The following is an 18,704-nucleotide window of genomic DNA, read 5'->3' on the forward strand; positions in this document are numbered from 1 at the left end:
TAAGTAAATGTTTTGGTTTGTTAAATTCCCCCCTTTACTATTTATTATGTAAATATGTTTTTAAAAAGTGGGTGTCATTCACACAACTTAAGTCACAACGTGTTAATGACGGAGAAGAAAACAGCATTAATATGACAGCAGGAAACTGAGGTTCTGGTAAATAAAAATACATAATTAGCCATGAATTCAAGACTTCAGAGCTTTCAAAATAGCCACACTAACCAGTTCATAATTTTGCATGTTTAGATCTGGCTAAAAGAATATTTTTGGCAATATACAATAAGTCACAATTCTCTGAAATACAAATTTGCCATGAAAATCTAATAAAAATGAGAGAGAAAATTTGTTCTCTTAAATCTTATATTACTTCCATTGAATACACACCTAACATAGTAGAACACAATTTCAGTAGTGATTTTGGGGTTACAATTTTCACATGTAATTCCTTCTGCAGGTAAATAAAAATATAAACCCAGAACAGTAAAAATAACATAAGGTAACAGTAAAAGCCTACCAAGGCTTTTGTTTAGGTAAACATTTATCTTAACACTGGAGCTTCGGAATCCTGAGAAGACCCTTGGGATAAAGTGACAGACACAGGTTTGATTCTTCCTGGTATTTCAAACAATGCCCCCATAACCTAAGGACAATTTTTTGAGGATAAATGACTGGCTAGGAGCACCAATGTCCTCAGGCCTTGCTTGGGGCCTGTAATCTCACCTAATCATTATTCACTATCCCCCAGAAAAGCCTCAAGCTAAAATTGTGATTGCTATTTAGAACTAAACTTGCAAATTCATTTTTGAACATCCGTTCTTCTGCCCTCATGACTTCATTTTTTGTTTAATTCATGTGCACCATTACATAGCAGCTGCACTAAGCATTAAAACCTACAGCAACAGTCAATGTGTTCTGAGTGCTGGCCTTCTTTATTCATTTATAAAAAGATATTCTGATAACAAAAATGCCTAAGGATTACATTGCATAATTCATGCAACTGGATATCTAGTCATTAAAGGGGATAGGAAATGCAGTGATAGTGGGCAATAGTTCAGTAAACTCAGAATTTTGCAATACAGTTTTTATAAGCCAGCTTTTACTGGAAAAATCAAAATAATTTTTATAAGTGCAAAAATAAGTTTAGAATGCAATGGTCTCTGAAAACCAGGGGATAAGCTAGAGTAAAATCAGGCTACAAATTTCCTTAATGAGACCTTTCAGTTTTTCTTGCATGGGATGTAAAATATATTATTTCTTAGCATCTATCCTGCTAAAACTTCCCATTTTTGCTTTGTTTCTAGGATTGAGCATTGCAGTCCTTTCCCTGTTCTTCCAGTAACTGTCTGCTTCAGTTGATAGTGAGACACAATTTCTTACTGATTATCATATTTAAGTCTCTTTTATCTCTTTTTATATGCAATGCTATTCTTTTTCTAGTTGAGGCTGACTTTGTTCTTTCCTCATTGAATAAGAACCACAACTGACAATATTGTGAACTCTTACTGCCATTAGTTATTATGCAATATTTTCCAATTTCCTATGATGAGCTATTACATTCACTAGCAAACCTTAACAGAAGACCTCAAGGTATTGCTTTCTTTTAGTTTTTAATACCTTAAAAACTAATCAGATATTCATCACATATAATAACACATGAAATTTTATATTCTATTTAATCCAAGGACTTTTTTTCATTTCAAATATACAATTTAATATTTTTTACAATTTGGGGTTGTGCACCCATCGTCACAGTTAATTTCAGAGCATTTTCATCACTCCAAAAAGAAATCCTATAAACACTGGTATTCACTTTTTCCACAAATCCCCCAGTCCCAGGCAGGCAACCACTAATCTACTGCCTCTGTGGATTTGCCTGCTCTAGACATTTCAGATAAATGTGATCATAAAATATGTGGCCTTTTGTGACCGGCTTGATTTACTTAATATAATAATTTTAAGGTTCATCCATACTGTACAGGAATCAGTACATCATCTCTTTTTATTGCTAAATAATATTCCATTGTATGTACATACCATATTTTATTTATCCATTCATCAGCTGATGGACATTTGGGTTGTTTCCACTTTTTGGCTACTATAAGTAATGCTGCTGCACACACTTGTGTACAATATTAGTGTATTTATATATTTTTATTTCTCTATGAGTAGAACTGATGAGTCATCAATCTGGTAAGTTCTTAAGGAATAACGTTGTAAGAATAGACAAAAGATAAATATTCCTGATGTCTGAAACCCTTTCAAGTAAAAGCACCTGGACCCTAATCCCACACTTGCTGCCAATATGTGTTTTCCTTCTCAGTGAAGAGTGCCTCCCAAGGTTCTGCTATGTAAGAATTGGGGTGTTTATTGCTGCTTCTCTCTACCCTTCATGTCCTTCATGTCAGATAACAGATGATCCTGGCATTGAAGTCTAAAAGTATAATCTCTGACTCTTGGTTCTGCAACCTATGTGTTTAGTGTAGAGATCCTCTCTGCCCTTTGTACCCTGTCTGGCTTCCTTTTGAGGTTGTCGTTGGATACTGGCAGGTTTGGTATCCACAGAAATGAGAGGAGCTTGGGTAACTTTTGGAGTCAAACCCTAATGAGTGGGACCTTAAAAAGATTTGTGTATCTTTGCTTGACTAGTTCTCAGTTTTCTTGCTCTTCCAAAGCAGAGGAAGGCTCTGGACAAAGTAGCTTTGTTATAAAAGTAGCTTGATAAAGCCATCTCCCTCTCCATGTATCTCTCCTCCTTTGCTTGAAGGCCTGAATTACCATCACCCCACCTCCTTGCCACCAATGGAGAACAATTCATATTTTTATAATACGTACCAGCTTTTTTTCCAAATTAAACTTTTTATTTTGAAATAATTATATATTCACATGCAGTTGCAGAAAATAATACAGACATATGGTGTACTCTTTACCCAATTTCCCCCAATGGTAGTATCTGTCAAATTATAGTACAATATAACAAACAAGTTAGTGACATTGATACAGCCAAGATAAAGAACATTTCCATCACCACAAGGGTCCCTCATGTTGCTCTTTTATACCACACCCATTTCCCTTCCCTCACCACCTGTTTCTTAACTCCTCACAACTCATTAATCTATTCTCCATTCCTATAATGTCATTTGAAAAAATATTTTATGAGTAGAATCACATGGTATATAAACTTTGGGGATTGACTATTTTCACTCAGCATAATTTTCTGGAGATTCATGCAGGTTACTGAGTGTATCAGTAGTTTGTTCCTTTTTATTGCTTAGTAGTGCAGGCTAAGTATACCTCTTATGGAATGCTTGGAACCAAAAGTGTTTCAGATTTCAGATTTTTGGAAGTTTTGGAATATTTGCATTATCAAACCCTGCAGAAGACCCTAATAAGGTATTGCCTTCTTTTGAAGTGATAACATAAAAACTAATCAGATATTGATCACATATAATAGCATGTAAAATTTTATATTCTATCTACCCAAGGATTTTTTGAGAAATCAAAACTGTCATGTTTCTGGAGAAAGCATATGTAAAATTTTACTCAAAAGACTTGGGAAATTCCATGATACTATTCACAATTTAGTACAATATCTCCTGAGGATAGAGAAATAAAATTTATATACTGATGGAGAGAAGAGCTATAGTTTCCAATAAAATATTACTTTAGTAAAAAAGGGCACTGAGGGTTTTTGTGTACATTAAAGGTTCTGCTTTTAACATGAGAGATAAAAAAACACTTTTGTGTCACAAGTATTTAGTATAATTAAATTTTTATAGAGGTTGTATTTGGGATTCTGACCTTTATCCTAAGAGTGATGGAAAACCTCTGAAGGGTGTATATGTGAGCAGATGTGTGTGTTTAAATCAGATTAAAACATGCGCATGGTTAAAATAAATGGTCCTTTGGCCCAAATTTTCCCATGTAAGCCTCGCTTCTCTTTCCACTTTTCCTTTGATACGTATCTCTATTTTTTCAGGTAAAAGTAATTTGCTTCCACTTGAAAATTTTTGTTAATCATTTTTTAGACATCATATATTAACAACACGCACACAAACACATAAAGGAAGCATTATATACTCACTCACCCAACCCTACCTCCACCTTTCCTGTCTCTATCATTCAGCATTTAGTTTGTTGTTGTTGTTTTGAGACATGGTCTCACTCTATCACCCAGGTTGGAGTATAGTAGCATAATTGTGGCTCATTGCAACTTCCGCCTCCCAAGCTCAAGTGATCCTCCCACCTCAGCCTCCCAAGTACCTTAGACTACAGGTGTGTGCCAGCAGGTACAGCTAATTTTTGTATTTTTTGTAGAGCCAGGGTTTCACCATGTTGCCCAGGCTGATCTCAAACTCCTAACCTCAAGTGATCTGCCCACCTCAGCCTCCCAGAATTCTGGGATTACAGCTGTTAGCCACCATGCCCATCCTTTATTTAGTTTTATCTCTATTTTTAGTTTCTCTGTTGTAACTATAATACCTTTCTTTTTTTGTCCCATTCGCTATAGATACTTCTTTGTGATTGCCCTCATCAGATGAGGATATTAGTACACCCACCTTCTCCTTCAACTCTTCTTCTTCCTGATTTCATTATCAGGTCTTTCATTTTTGCATTTCTAAAATTAATGCCAGTTACATCTTTTAAAAAAATTTTTTTATTTTACTTTAAGTTCTGGAATACATGTGCAGAACATGCAGATATGCTACATAGGTATACATGTGCCATGGTGGTTTGCTGCACCTATCAACCCATCATCTAGGTTTTAAGCCCTGCATGCATTAGATAATTGTCCTAATGCTCTCCCTCCCCTTGCCCTCCACCCCCCACCAACAGGCCCCAGTGTGTGATGTTCCCCTCCCTGTGTCCATGTGTTCTCATTGTTCAACTCACACTTATGAGTGAGAACATGTGGTGTTTGGTCTTCTGTTCTTGTGTTAGTTTGCTGAGAATGATGGCTTCCAGCTTCATCCATGTCCCTGCAAAGGACATGAACTCATCATTTTTTATGGCTGCATAGTATTCCAGGGTGTATATTTGCCACATTTTCTTTATCCAGTCTATCACTGATGGACATTTGGGTTGGTTCCAGGTCTTTGCTATTGCGAATAGTGCTGCAATAAACATACATGTACATGTGTCTTTATAGTAGAATGATTTATAATCCTTTGGGTGTATACCCAGTAATGGGATTGCTGGGTCAAATGGCATTTCCAATTCTAGCTCCTTGAGGAATCACCACACTGTCTTCCACAGTGGTTGAACTAATTTACACTCCCACCAACATGTAAAAGCATTCCTATTTCTCCACAGCCTCACCAGCATCTGTTGTTTCCCGAGTTTTTAATAATTGCCATTCTAACTGGTGTGAGATGGTATCTCATTGTGATTTTGATTTGCATTTCTCTGTAAGCTTTTTTTCATACGTTTGTTGGCTGCATAAATGTCTTCTTTTGAGAAGTGTCTGTTCATATCCTTTGCTCACTTTTTGATGGACTTTTTCATAATTGCCATTCTAACTGGTGTGAGATGGTATATCATTGTGGTTTTGATTTGCATTTCTCTAATGACCAATGATGATGCGCATTTTTTCATATGTTTGTTGGCCATATAAATGTCTTCTTTTGAGAAGTGTCTGTTCATATCCTTTGCCCACTTTTTGATGGGGTTGTTTGTTTTTTTTCTTGTAAATTTTTTTAAGTTCCTTGTAGATGCTGGATATTAGACCTTTGTCAGATGGGTAGATTGCAAAAATTTTCTCCCATTCTGTAGGTGGTCTGTTCATTCTGATGATAGTTTCTTTTGCTATGCAGAAGCTCTTTAGTTTAATTAGATCCCATTTGTCGATTTTGGCTTTTTTTTTTTTTTGCCATTGCTTTTGGTGTTTTAGTCATGAAGTCTTTGTCCCTGCCTATATCCTGAATGGTATTGCCCGGGTTTTCTTCTAGGGTTTTTATAGTTTTAGGTTTTACATTTAAGTCTTTAATTCATCTTGAGTTCATTTTTGTATAAGGTGTAAGGAAGGGATCCAGTTTCTGTTTTCTGCATATGGCTAGCCAGTTTTCCCAACAGCATTATTAAATAGGGGATCCTTTCCCCATTGCTTGTTTTTGCCAGTTTTGTCAAAGATCTGATGGTTGTAGATGTGTGATATTATTTCTGAGGTCTCTGTTCTGTTCCATTGGTCTATATATCTGTTTTGGTACCAGTACCATGCTGTTTTCATTACTGTAGCCTTGTAATATAGTTTGAAGTCCAGTAGTGTGATGCCTCCAGCTTTGTTGTTTTTGCTAAGGATTGTCTTGGCTATACAGGCTCTTTTTACATTTCATATGAAATTTAAAGTAGTTTTTTCTAATTCTGTGAAGAAAGTCAATGGTAGCTTGGTGGGAATAGCATTTGAATAGTATTGAATCTATAAAGTACTTTGCAATAGCATTGAATCTATAAAGTACTTTGGGCAGTATGGCCATTTTCACAATATTGGTTTTTCCTATCTATGAGTATGGAATGTTTTTCCATTTGTTTGTGTCCTCTCTCACTCTCTTGAGCAGTGGTTTGTAGTTCTACTTGAAGAGGTCCTTAACATCCCTTGTAAGTTGTATTCCTAAGTATTTTATTCTCTTTGTAGCAATTGTGAATTAGAGTTTGCTCATGATTTGGCTCTTTGCTTGTCTGTTATTATTATTTTGCAACCATAATTAACCATGTACATTATTGTGTGAAAAGGGCTTTTGCATTTGGTGTTCCCTCTACCTGCAACATAAATTCACTGAGATGACAATTTAATCCCTCTTTTTCTTAAATTCTTGACGATAATGGCAGCTGATCAGTAGGGCCTCCCTTGCCATACTTATTTTAAATAGCAACTTCCCATGCCTGGAATTTTTGCTCTGGTTTCCTTATTTTTTTTCTTCATAGCTCACGTTGTTAATACACATTATATATTTTAATTTTCTTAATTTTTAAAACTACTGTCACTCTCCCCCACTGGACTGTAAGCTTCAAGAAGGGAGAGAATCTGTTCTAACTAATTTAATCCATTTTTTAATTCATTACTTTCCCCATCATTACTGTATTCCTAGTAGCTAAAACAATGCTATATAACCAGCTGACACTAAATAAGTATTAATTTAATTAGTGATTAATTACAGTGCCAAGTATTCTTCTTTGGTTATATTTTCTTAAGCAATTTTTCCGTTTTCTTAGAATTTCTAATTCCCTTTTGTTTTTCTTGTATCATTTTTCTTTATGATATTCCCAGTTCTTTCCAACTCTCCATTATATAAAACATTCTGGTGTATCTCTTTCCTTTTCTTCCCCCTTTTCCTTGGGAACTGCTCTTCCAGAGTCTTGACATCCTCTGGCTGCACAACTGTCATCCTGAGACTCCCCTTTCCTGATCTTCTGGATGGTGCTATTTCAACCCACATTTTTTCTCTTTTCTTTTCTTTTTTTTTAATTCTGCTGTGATGAAGCGTATCCCTTAGCAACTCCTAAGAACAAGTATATGGATAATCAATTTTTTAAATTTTTATGTTTGAATTTTTTCTTATTTTATACTCACAAGTTATCCAGGTTCTAACATTAGAAGATGCAAGCCTAGGGGCAGAGCCTTACAGGTCTGGGGGAAAGGAGAGAAGTAGTGAGTGTATGCATCCACATTAGAAAAGGAGAAAACACATTTAAAAGGTGCTATTTTTGGCCACCTACTCTACATGAGACACTGTTTAAAATTGACATTTTGTACCACTTTCCTAACTGTTTTTTATAATAGTCTTCACAATTCATCATGTTGAAAGTTATAGAAAAGGCACACCTTTAAAGACTGTGGTGAGGAGAAGCAATTACTATCCATTTTAATTGCTTGCCATCTTAATTCTAGTTTATCTGGGACTCTAGATTACAAATCTTCCCTCTGAATTTGGAAGGTGATGCTCCACTCTCTTCAGACATTCATTTTTGTCCTTTGTAGGTCATCTGCTTTTTTCTTCTGGCTTTTAGGATTTACTCTTTTTTTTTTTTCTTGGTATTTTGCAATTCCTGATATGTCTAGGTGTAGGCCTTTTAAAATTCATGTTGTACTTGAATTTTAAGTGGGTACTCTCTTCTGAGGAGTTGTGTCCTTCATATCTAGAAAATTATCTTGCATTATTTTCTTATAATTCTCCCCTAACCCACCTTTTTTTTCTTGTTCTTTCCTTCTACAACTTTTATTATTCTATGATGGTCCACATGGGCTGGCCATTTGAAGTCTGTTCTTTTGCATGATACTTTGTTTCATTTTTAATCTACCTACTGGGAAAGCTCTCAACTCTTAAAACAAAAATTCATGGGAGGGTTGAAATATAAAATTATGTTTTTATTTTCTAAAAGTCTTTCGTATTCTCTGTGGTCTCTGTGTGTCATTGTTCATTATACAAATATTCAGTAAATCTCCCCATTTTCAGCCCTATTTCTCCCTGCTGTCCTCTTACCAGGCATCTCAGAGCCCCTGAACCTCCCTGTGTATCTACAGATCAATGGGTCTTGTCTACTCTAGGCTGAGGTTTCCTGTGCCCACTTCAGCAGTTCTAATCTGTTTTCCTGCTCACATTAATATATTGAAATCTCACATCTGTTAATGGCCCATCCTCCACCTATTGTGGTGTTACTTATTTTTTATTTCTGTATTGTCATTTTACTGGGTCTTAAAAGAAGTAAAAACATGCGTGGTCTACCTGGTATCTTTAACTAGAAGTCATTGAAAGTTTGTAGGCAAAAAAAATGGCCAGAGGAAATGCCATTTTACAAAGATCACTCCTGATAAAGCTTGAGTTATAGCAGCATAAACTAGCAGATGAGGTTACTCTGCATGTAATTATGTGATGCTTATAACACAGCCCAAGATATAGGTAATAGGGCTACTTATTAAAATAATACAGGAGGGATATAATTAGTATATTCTTACATATAAAGAAATAAGTGGATTAATATTTAAAGGAATGCAACCACCTAGGAACAAGTTAAATACAATACTTTCTCCTATTATAAAGCAAAATAGGCTGGGTGCAGTGGCTCACGCCTGTAAGTGCTCACACAGCACTTTGGGAGGCCAAGGCAAGTGGATCACTTGAGCTGTGAAATTCCAGACCAGCCTGGGCAACAGGTGAAACCCCCACTAAAAATACAAAAAAAAAAAAAAAAAAAGCTGGGTGTGGTGGTACACGCATGTGGTCTCAGCTACTCAGGAGGCTGAGGAGCGGATCGCTTGAGGTGGGGGTTGGGGATGGGTGGATGAAGGCTGCAGTGAGCGGCATGCCACTGCACTCCAGCCGGGGTGACAAGAGTGAGAACCTGTCTTAAAAAAATTAAAAGACAAAATATAATTTATTCTCCAGGGCAAAATTGAAGTGACTCTTTTCAGAAATAATCTAATCTCTACCTACTCTACCAGTGCTTTCTATCACTTGATTTCAATGTTATTTTGCATAGAGTAGCAGTAAGTTAGCTTTATACCAGCCTTGGACTTCTAGAAATTTATAGTCTTTTGACGGGGTGTGGTGGCTCAAGCCTGTAATCCCAGCACTTTGGGAGGCCGAGGCACATGGATCACCTGAGGTCAGGAGTTCAAGACCAGCCTGGGCGACATGGTGAAACCCCATCTCTACTAAAAATACAAAAATTAGCCAGGCTTGGTGGCACCCTGCACGCCTGTAGTCCCAGCTATTTGGGAGGCAGAGGCATGAGAATCACTTGAACTTGGGAGGAGGAGGTTGCAGTGAGGCATTATCACACCACTGCACTTCAGCCTTGATGACAGAGTAAGGCTCTGTCTCAAAAAAAAAAAAAAAAAATTGTAGTGTTTTATTTTCAGTTAACAGCAATAAGGATCAAAATGCTATTTCATAGGGTGGTAATGATGAATAAAATGAGATAAAACATATCATGTTCATTTTTGCTCTTTCTTTGTGCTATATACCCATTTTTAAACCGCTTCTAGAATATCTCCATAACTATAGTAAATTCTCTAATATCAAAATCCTCCTACTATATGAAAATTTTGGTCCTTTAAAAGGGCACTATTGCCAAATAATGGAGTGTGATATGTAAAAAGCATTTTTCTTGCCTTCTTAAGTCTTAAGAAAGGCTTTGCAGTCTTAAGCAGCTCCTTTGTGTACTCGATTGAAAGATCCTTGTAAGCTTTAGTGCCATTAAAAAAATACATTGTTTATAGCCAGTTCTATAGATCTTTTTGATAATAGGAATAAACTCTTTATCAAAGCATGATCTCTATGAATCCTAGTCATTTAAATGTGGTTTTTCAATGTTACCCATTTTAATTGTTGTGCTGGCATATGTGACTGCTCTTTATGTATTGCTTTTCAAATAGATTAAGAAAAATTCACTGAAAAAGTTGTTTTCATTTCTGTCTCCCTTTAAAAGAAGTATACATATATAAAAGTTATATGTGGTAGCAGTTTTATTATAGATTATTAGGGACTCTCATTTTGCTGAGACACATATTTACTTCCTGTCCTTCACATAAAAACTTGGAAAAAGGGCAAGAAGAAATTTTAAATCCATAACTGAATAAATTCACTAGATTTCAAGGAAAATAATAAAATTATAGCAAAGATCATTTCAGGTTTCAAATATCTGTAACTGTATATTATTATGGCTGAAAGAAATTGCAAATGCAGTGTGCATTTTTCATAATCAAAATGTATTATAAACCCTCCATGTCTCTTTTATATAAATAAAAAGGATTATAATTTCAAATATCATTATTATCATATCTGTTTGCCTTTATTATAAGTGGAAGCTGTAGTTTCTGATTACCTCTAACTACTGCTGGATTTTTCCCTAAAGTGCATATATTTTTTGGATTAACAACACATTTATTTTTAGTATATGTTCTTTTTACCTGCTTCTGACCATTCAGTGTGCACATACACACACACATCTCAGAGAATAGGAAAAACAAAAGACATTTTATTAAGTAAATAATACTCTGCAAAGGTTTTATTTGGTTTACATAATAGATGAGAAGTTCCTTTTTGGGATACTGTCTTCTATTTTATGTAGGAATTATTTTTAAAACCATGATATCCTAGGATTTTTTAAAATGTATTTTGCATGTTATGATTTTCTGGTGGCTATACAGAAATCTTCCTGCTTTTTTTCCCCTATTCACAGTATTCAAAGTAGTCCATGTGACCTAGATATTGAAAATCTAGGTAGAGTGTGCTGCATTGCTGATATTTACTGTGAAACCTTAGAAACATTCTGGTACCACATGCTGGAATTACAGGGTGCACACTGTTTAATATTGCTGGTATTTTTGTGACAGTCTATATGATCATTTTTCTAAGCTGGCATTAAAATTGTTGAAAAATATTCAAAAACAAATAAAAAATAATGTTTTTATATTTCAGTTAAAATGCACATATAATCAATGTTCATTTTAAAATTTTAGCTCAGACTAGGTAAGTTTTATTATGAGTTTTCCCACCATTATTTACCTTGTATTTAGAATTATCATAATCTGCTAACTATAAAAATCTTCCCTCCGCTCCCCTCCTCTCCTTCCATGTTTTTATTGAGAAGAAAAATAAGAAAAAAAGTGCTGGGTTGGGGCCAGGCGTGGTGGCTCATGCCTATAATGCCAACACGTTGGGAGGCCGAGGCAGCCGGATCACAAGGTCAGGGGTTCAAAACCAGCCAGCCTGGCCAACATTGTGAAACCCAATCTCTACTAAAAATACAAAAATTAGCCAGGTGAGGTGGCACATGCCTGTAATCCTAGCTACTGGGGAGGCTGAGGGAGGAGAATCTCTTGAACCCAGGAGGTGAAAGTTGCAGTGAGCCAAGATTGCACAACTGCATTGCAGCCTGGGTGACAGAGTGAGACTCTGTCTCAAAAACACAAACAAAACAAAAAAAAAAACGTGTTGGATTTACAGATTTCTTTTCAGTACATATTCTTCTGAACATCAGTTGGGACACTGACTCCCCTGTTTTATTAGTATTTCCAAACAGAAATCTGTTGCAGAGCCATTTTTAAAAGGTAGGGTATATGTTGAATGACTGGCTTAACAATTTGTCCAATATTAACTAATGTAGCCTTTTGCAACATTGCCCAGGATCTAGGCTATGAAACAAGAAGGGCTCACATTATCTATATAGTCAGAGAAATAGGAACTTAACAATAGTTATTTTTAAAGACACGTTGCCAATCCCATAGTTTGGACAACAATCACTAGATGTTAATAAGAGCATCAAAATGGTGGTGGCTGCCAAGATGGCCAAATAGGAACAGCTCCGGTCTGCAGCTCCCAGCGAGATCAACGCAGAAGGCGGGTAATTTCTGTATTTCTAACTGAGGTACCCAGCTCATCTCATTGGAACTAGTTAGACAGTGAGTGCAGCCCTCCCGACTGGGGAAGCACAAGGGGTTGGGGAACTCCCTCCCCTAGCCAAGGGAAGACAGGAGAGACTGTGCCATGCGGAACAGTGCACTCGGGCCCAGATACTACGCTTTTCCCATGGTCTTTGCAACTGCAGATCAGGAGATTCCCTCGGGTGCCTACACCACCAGGGCCCTGGGTTTCAAGCACAAAACTGGGTGGCCATTTGGGCAAACACCGAGCTAGCTGCCGGAGTTTTTTTCATACCCCAGTGGCCCCTGGAATGCCAGCAAGACAGAACCATTCACTCTCCTGGAAAGGGGGCTGAAGCCAGGGAGCCAAGTGGTCTAGCTCAGCGGATCCCAGCCCCACAGAGCGCAGCAAGCTAAGATCCACTGGCTTGAAATTCTCAGGTCAGCACAGCAGCCTGAAGTGAACCTGAGATGGTGGAGCTTGGTGGGGGGAGGGGCATCCACCATTACTGAGGCTTCAGTAGGCGATTTTCCCCTCACAGTGTAAACAAGGCCATCAGGAAGTTCGAACTGGGCGGAGATCACTGCAGCTCAGCAAAGCCACTGTAGCCAGACTGCCTCTCTAGATCCCTCCTCTGTTGGCAGGGCATCTCTAAAAGAAAGGCAGCATCCCCAGTCAGGGACATATACATAAAACTCCCATCTCCCTGGGACAGAGCACCAGGGGAAAGGAACAGCTGTGTGCACAGCTTCAGCCAACTTAAAGGTTCCTTCCTACTGGCTCTGAAGAGAGCAGTGCATCTCCCGGCACAATGCTCGAGCTCCGCTAACTGACAGACTACCTCTTCAAGTGGGTCCCTGACCCCCGTGCCTCCTGACTGGGAGACACTTCCCAGCAGGGGTCGACAGACACCTCACACAGGAGAACTCCAGCTGGCATCTAGTGGGTGCTACTCTGGGACAAAGATTCCAGAGGAAGGAATAGGCAGCAGTCTTTGCTGTTCTTCAGCCTTTGCTGGTGATACCCAGGCAAACAGGGTCTGGAGTGGACCTCCAGCAAACTCCAGCAGACCTGCAGCAAAGGGGCCTGACTGTTACAAGGATAACTAGCAAACAGAAAGGAATAGCATCAACATCAACAAAAAGGAAATCCATTCAGAGACCCCATCTGAAGGTCACCAACACAAAGACCAAAGGTAGATAAATCAATGAAGATGAGGAAAAAACAGTGCAAAACGGCTGAAAATTCCAAAACCCAGAATGCCTCTTCTCCTCCAAGTGATCACAACTCCTTGCCAGCAAAGGAACAAAACTGGACAGAGAATGAGTTTAACGAATTGACAGAAGTAGGCTTCAGAAAGTGGGTAATAACACACTCCTCCGAGCTAAAGGAGCATATTCTAACCCAATGAAAGGAAGCTAAGAACCTTTTCTTTTTTTTGAGACAGAGTCTCACTCTGTCACCCAGGCTGGAGTGCAGTGGCGCAATCTTGGCTCACTGCCAGCTCCACCTCCTGGGTTCACACCATTCTCCTGCCTCAGCCTCCCGAGTAGCTGTGACTACAGGCGCCCGCCACCACGCCCGGCTAATTTTTTTGTATTTTTTGTAGAGACGGGGTTTCGCTGTGTTAGCCAGGATGGTCTCAATCTCCTGACCTCGTGATCCACCTACCTCGGCCTCCCAAAGTGCTGGGATTACAGGCATGAGCCACCACACGCAGCCTCTGAGAACCTTGAGAAAAGGTTAGACAAATTGCTAACTAAAATAACCAGTTAAGAAAAGACCTGTTCTGCAGCCTCTGCTGGTGATACCCAGGCAAACAGGGTCTGGAGTGGACCTCTATACCTGATGGAGCTGAAAAATACAGCATGAGAACTTCATGAAGCATACACAAGTATCAATAGCTGAATCAATCAAGCGGAAAAAAGGATATCAGAGATTGAAGATCAACTTAATGAAATAAAGTGTGAAGACTAGATTAGAGAAAAAAGAATGAAAAGGAACAAACAAACCCTCCAAGAAATATGGGACTATGTGAAAAGACCAAACCTGTGTTTGATTGGTGTACCTGAAAGTGACGGGGAGAATGGAACCAAGTTGGAAAACACTCTTCAGGATATTATTCAGGAGAACTTCCCCAACCTAGCAAGACGGGCCAACATTCAAATTCAGGAAATACAGAGAACGCCACAAAGATACTCCTCAAGAAGAGCAACCCAAGACACATAATCGACAGATTCGCCAAGGTTGAAATGAAGGAAAAAATATTAAGGGCAGAAGAGAGAAAGGTCAGGTTATCCACAAAGGGAATCCCATCAGGCTAACAGCAGATATCTCAGTAGAAACCCTACAAGCCAGAAAAGAGTGGGGGCCAATATTCAACATTCTTAAAGAAAAGAATTTTCAACCCAGAATTTCATATCCAGCCAAACAAAGCTTCATAAGCGAAGGATAAATAAAATCCTTTACAGACAAGCAAATGCTGAGAGATTTTGTCACCACCAGGCCTACCTTACAAGAGCTCCTGAAGGAAGCCCTAAATATGGAAAAGGAAAACTGGTACCAGCCACTGCAAAAACATACCAAATTGTAAAGACCATTGACATTATGAATAAACTGCATCAACTAACGGGCAAAATAACTAACTAGCATCATAATGACAGGATCAAATTCACACATAACAGTATTAACCTTTAATGTAAATGGGTTAAATGCCCCAATTAGACACAGGCTGGCAAATCGGACAAAGTGTCAAGACCCATTAGTGTGCTGTATTCAGGAGACCCATCTCACACGCAAAGACACACATAGGCTCAGAATAAAGGGATGGAGGAATATTTACCAAGCAAATGGAAAGCAATAAAAAGCAGGGGTTGCAATCCTAGTCTCTGGTAAAAGAGGGTTTAAACCAATAAAGATCAAAAAAGACAAAGAAGGGCTTTACATAATGGTAAAGGGATCAATGCAACAAGAAGAGCTAACTATCCTAAATATATATGCACCCAATAGGGGAGCACCCAGATTCATAAAGCAAGTTCTTAGAGACCCACAAAGAGACTTAAACTGCCACACAATAATAGTGAGAGACTTTCACACCCAAATGTCAATATTAGGTCAACAGGACAGAAAATTAACAAGGATATTCAGGACGTGAACTCAGCTCTGGACCAAGCAGACCTAATAGACATTTACAGAACTCTCCACCCCAAATCAACAGAATATACATTCTTCTCAGCACCACATCACACTTATTCTAAAATTGACCACATAATTGAAAGTAAAGCACTCCTCAGCAAATGCAAAAGAACAGAAATCTTAACAAACAAGTCTCTCAGACCACAGTGCAATCAAATTAGAACTCAGGATTACAAAACTCACTCAAAACCACACAAATACATGGAAACTAAACAACCTGCTCCTGAATAACTACTGGGTTAATAACAAAATTAACACAGAAATAAATAAGTTCTTTGAAACCAATGAGAACAAAGACACAACATACCAGAATCTCTGAGACACAGCCAAAGCAGTCTTAGAGGGACATTTATAGCACCAAATGCCCACAGGAGAAAGCAGGAAAGATCTAAAACCGACACCCTAACATCACAATTAAAAGGAGTAGAGAAGCAAGAGCAAACACATTCAAAAGCTAGCAGAAGACAAGAAATAAACAAGATCAGAGCAGAACTGAAGGAGATGAACCCTTCAAAAATTCAAGGAATTGAGGAGCTGATTTTTTGAAAAGATTAACAAAATACATAGACCACTAGCCAGACCAATAAAAAAGAAAAAGGAGAAGAATCAAATAGACACAATAAAAAATGATAAAGGGGCTATCACCACTGATCCCACCAAAATACAAACTGCTATCAGATAATACTATAAACCCCTCTATGCAAATAAACTAGAAAATATAGAGGAAATGGATAAATTCCTAGACACATGCACCCTCCCATGACTAAGCTAGGAAGAAGTCGAATCACTGAATAGACCAATAAAAAGTTCTGAAGTTGAGACAGTAATTAACACTCTACCAAAAAAAAAACCCCAGACCAGATGGATGCCCAGGTGAATTCTACCAGAAGTACAAAGAGGAGCTGGTACCATTCCTTCTGAAACTATTCCAAACAAAAGAAAAAGAGGGACTCCTCCCTAACTCATTTTATGAGGCCAGCATCATCCTGATACCAAAAGCTAGCAGAGACACAACAGAAATACTAAATCTCAGGCCAATATCCTTGATGAATATCGATGTAAAAATCCTCAATAAAATGCTGGCAGACAGAATCCAGCAGTACATCAGAAAGCTCATCCACCATGATCGAGTCGACTTCATACCTGGGATGCAAGCCTGGTTCAACACATGCAGATCAATAAATGCAATCCATGACATAAATAGAACAAATGACAAAAACCACATGATTATCTCAATAGATGCAAAAAAGGCCTTCGATAAAATCCAACACCCCTTCATGCTAAAAACTATCAATAAACTAGGTATTGATGGAACGTATCTCAAAATAATGAAAGCTATTTATGACAAACCCACAGCCAATATCATACTGAATGACCAAAAGCCGGAAGCATTCCCTCTGAAAACCAGCACAAGACAAGGATGCCCTCTGTCACCATTCCTATTCAACATAGTGTTGGAAGTTCTGGCCAGGGCAGTCAGGCAAGAGAAAGAAATAAAGGGTATTCAGATAAGAAAAGACAAAGTCAACTTGTCCCTGTTTGCAGATGCCATGATTGTATATTTAGAAAACCCCATTGTCTCAGCCCAAAATCTCCTTAGGCTGATGAGCAACTTCAGCAAAGTCTCAGGATACAAAATCAATGTGCAAAAATCACAAGCATTCCTATACACCAATAATAAACAAGCGGAGAGCCAAATCATGAGTGAACTCCCATTTACAATTGCTACAAAGAGAATAAAATACCTAGGAATACAACTTACAAGGGATGTGAAGGGCCTCTTCAAGGAGAACTACAGACCACTGCTGAAGAAAATAAGAGAGGACACAAACAAATGGAAAACATTCCATGCTCATGGATAGGAAGAATCAGTATTGTGAAAATGGGCCATAGTATGCAAAGTAATTTATAGATTCAATGTTATCCCCATTAAGCTACCATTGACTTTCCTCACAGAATTAGAAAAAACTACTTTAAATTTAATATGGAACCAAAGAAGAGCCCATATAGCCAAGACAATTCTAAGCAAAAAGAACAAAGCTGGAGGCTTCACACTACCTGACTTCAAATTATACTACAAGGCTACAGTAATGAAAACAGCATGGTACTGGTATCAAAACAGATATATAGACCAATGGAACAGAACAGAGGCCTCAGAAATAACACCACACATCTACAACCATCTGATCTTTGACAAACCTGACAAAAACAAGCAATGGGGAAAGATTCCCTATTTAATAAATGGCGTTGGGAAAACCAGCTAGCCATATGCAGAAAACAGAAACTGGACCCCTTCCTTACACCTTATACAAAAATGAACTCAAGATGGATTAAAGACTTAAACGTAAGACCCAAAACCATAAAAACCCTAGAAGAAAACCTAGGCAATACCATTCAGGACATAGACATGGGCAAAGCCTTCATGACCAAAACACCAAAAGCAATGGCAACAAAAGCCAAAATTGACAAACAGGATCTAATTAAACTAAAGAGCTTCTGCACAGCAAAAGAAACTGTCATCAGAGTGAACAGGCAACCTACAGAATGGGAGAAAATTTTTGCAATCTATCTATCTGACAAAGGGCTAATATCCAGAATGTACAAGGAACTTAAGTAAATTTACAAGAAAAAAACAAACAACCCCATCAAAAAATGGGAGAAGTATATGAACAGATATTTCTCAAAAGAAGACATTTATGCAGCCAACAAACATATGAACAAAAGCTCTTTATCACTGGTCATTAGAGAAATGCAAATTAAAACCACAATGAGATAGCATTTCACACCAGTTAGAATGGCAATTATTAAAAAGTCAGGAAACAACAGATTCTGAAGGGGATGGGGAGAAATAGTACACTTTTACACCATTGGTGGGAGTGTAAATTAATTCAATTATTGTGGAAGACAGTGTGGCGATTCCTCAAGGATCTAAACCAGAAATACCACTTGACCCAGCAATCCCATTACTGGTTATATACCCAAAGGATTATAAATCATTCTACTATAAAGACACATGCTCATGTACGTTTATTGCAGCATTATTCACAATGGCAAAGACTTGGAACCACTCCAAATGCTCGTCAGTGATAGACTGGATTAAGAAAATGTGGCACATATACACCATGGGATACTATGCAGCCATTAAAAAGT

The 18,704-nt window shown here is 37.9% G+C and overlaps 1 protein-coding gene across 30 annotated transcripts in view, besides 1 other annotated feature; it reads left to right on the forward strand.

Moving 5' to 3' along the window:
* MBD5 (methyl-CpG binding domain protein 5) overlaps positions 1–18,704 on the forward strand; it is a 496,045-nt gene that overhangs the window by 328,525 nt on the left and 148,816 nt on the right. The window lies entirely within an intron of this gene.
* Positions 12,602–13,140: an enhancer, noted in NCBI's record as "H3K27ac-H3K4me1 hESC enhancer chr2:149119622-149120160 (GRCh37/hg19 assembly coordinates)". NCBI's record gives its function as "activates a minimal SCP1, AML or CMV promoter by ChIP-STARR-seq in primed H9 embryonic stem cells {active_cell/tissue: H9 hESC(primed)}" and the evidence as "EXISTENCE:reporter gene assay evidence [ECO:0000049][PMID:30033119]".

Source organism: Homo sapiens, chromosome 2 (genome assembly GCF_000001405.40).
Source record: "Homo sapiens chromosome 2, GRCh38.p14 Primary Assembly".
NCBI lineage: Eukaryota > Metazoa > Chordata > Mammalia > Primates > Hominidae > Homo > Homo sapiens.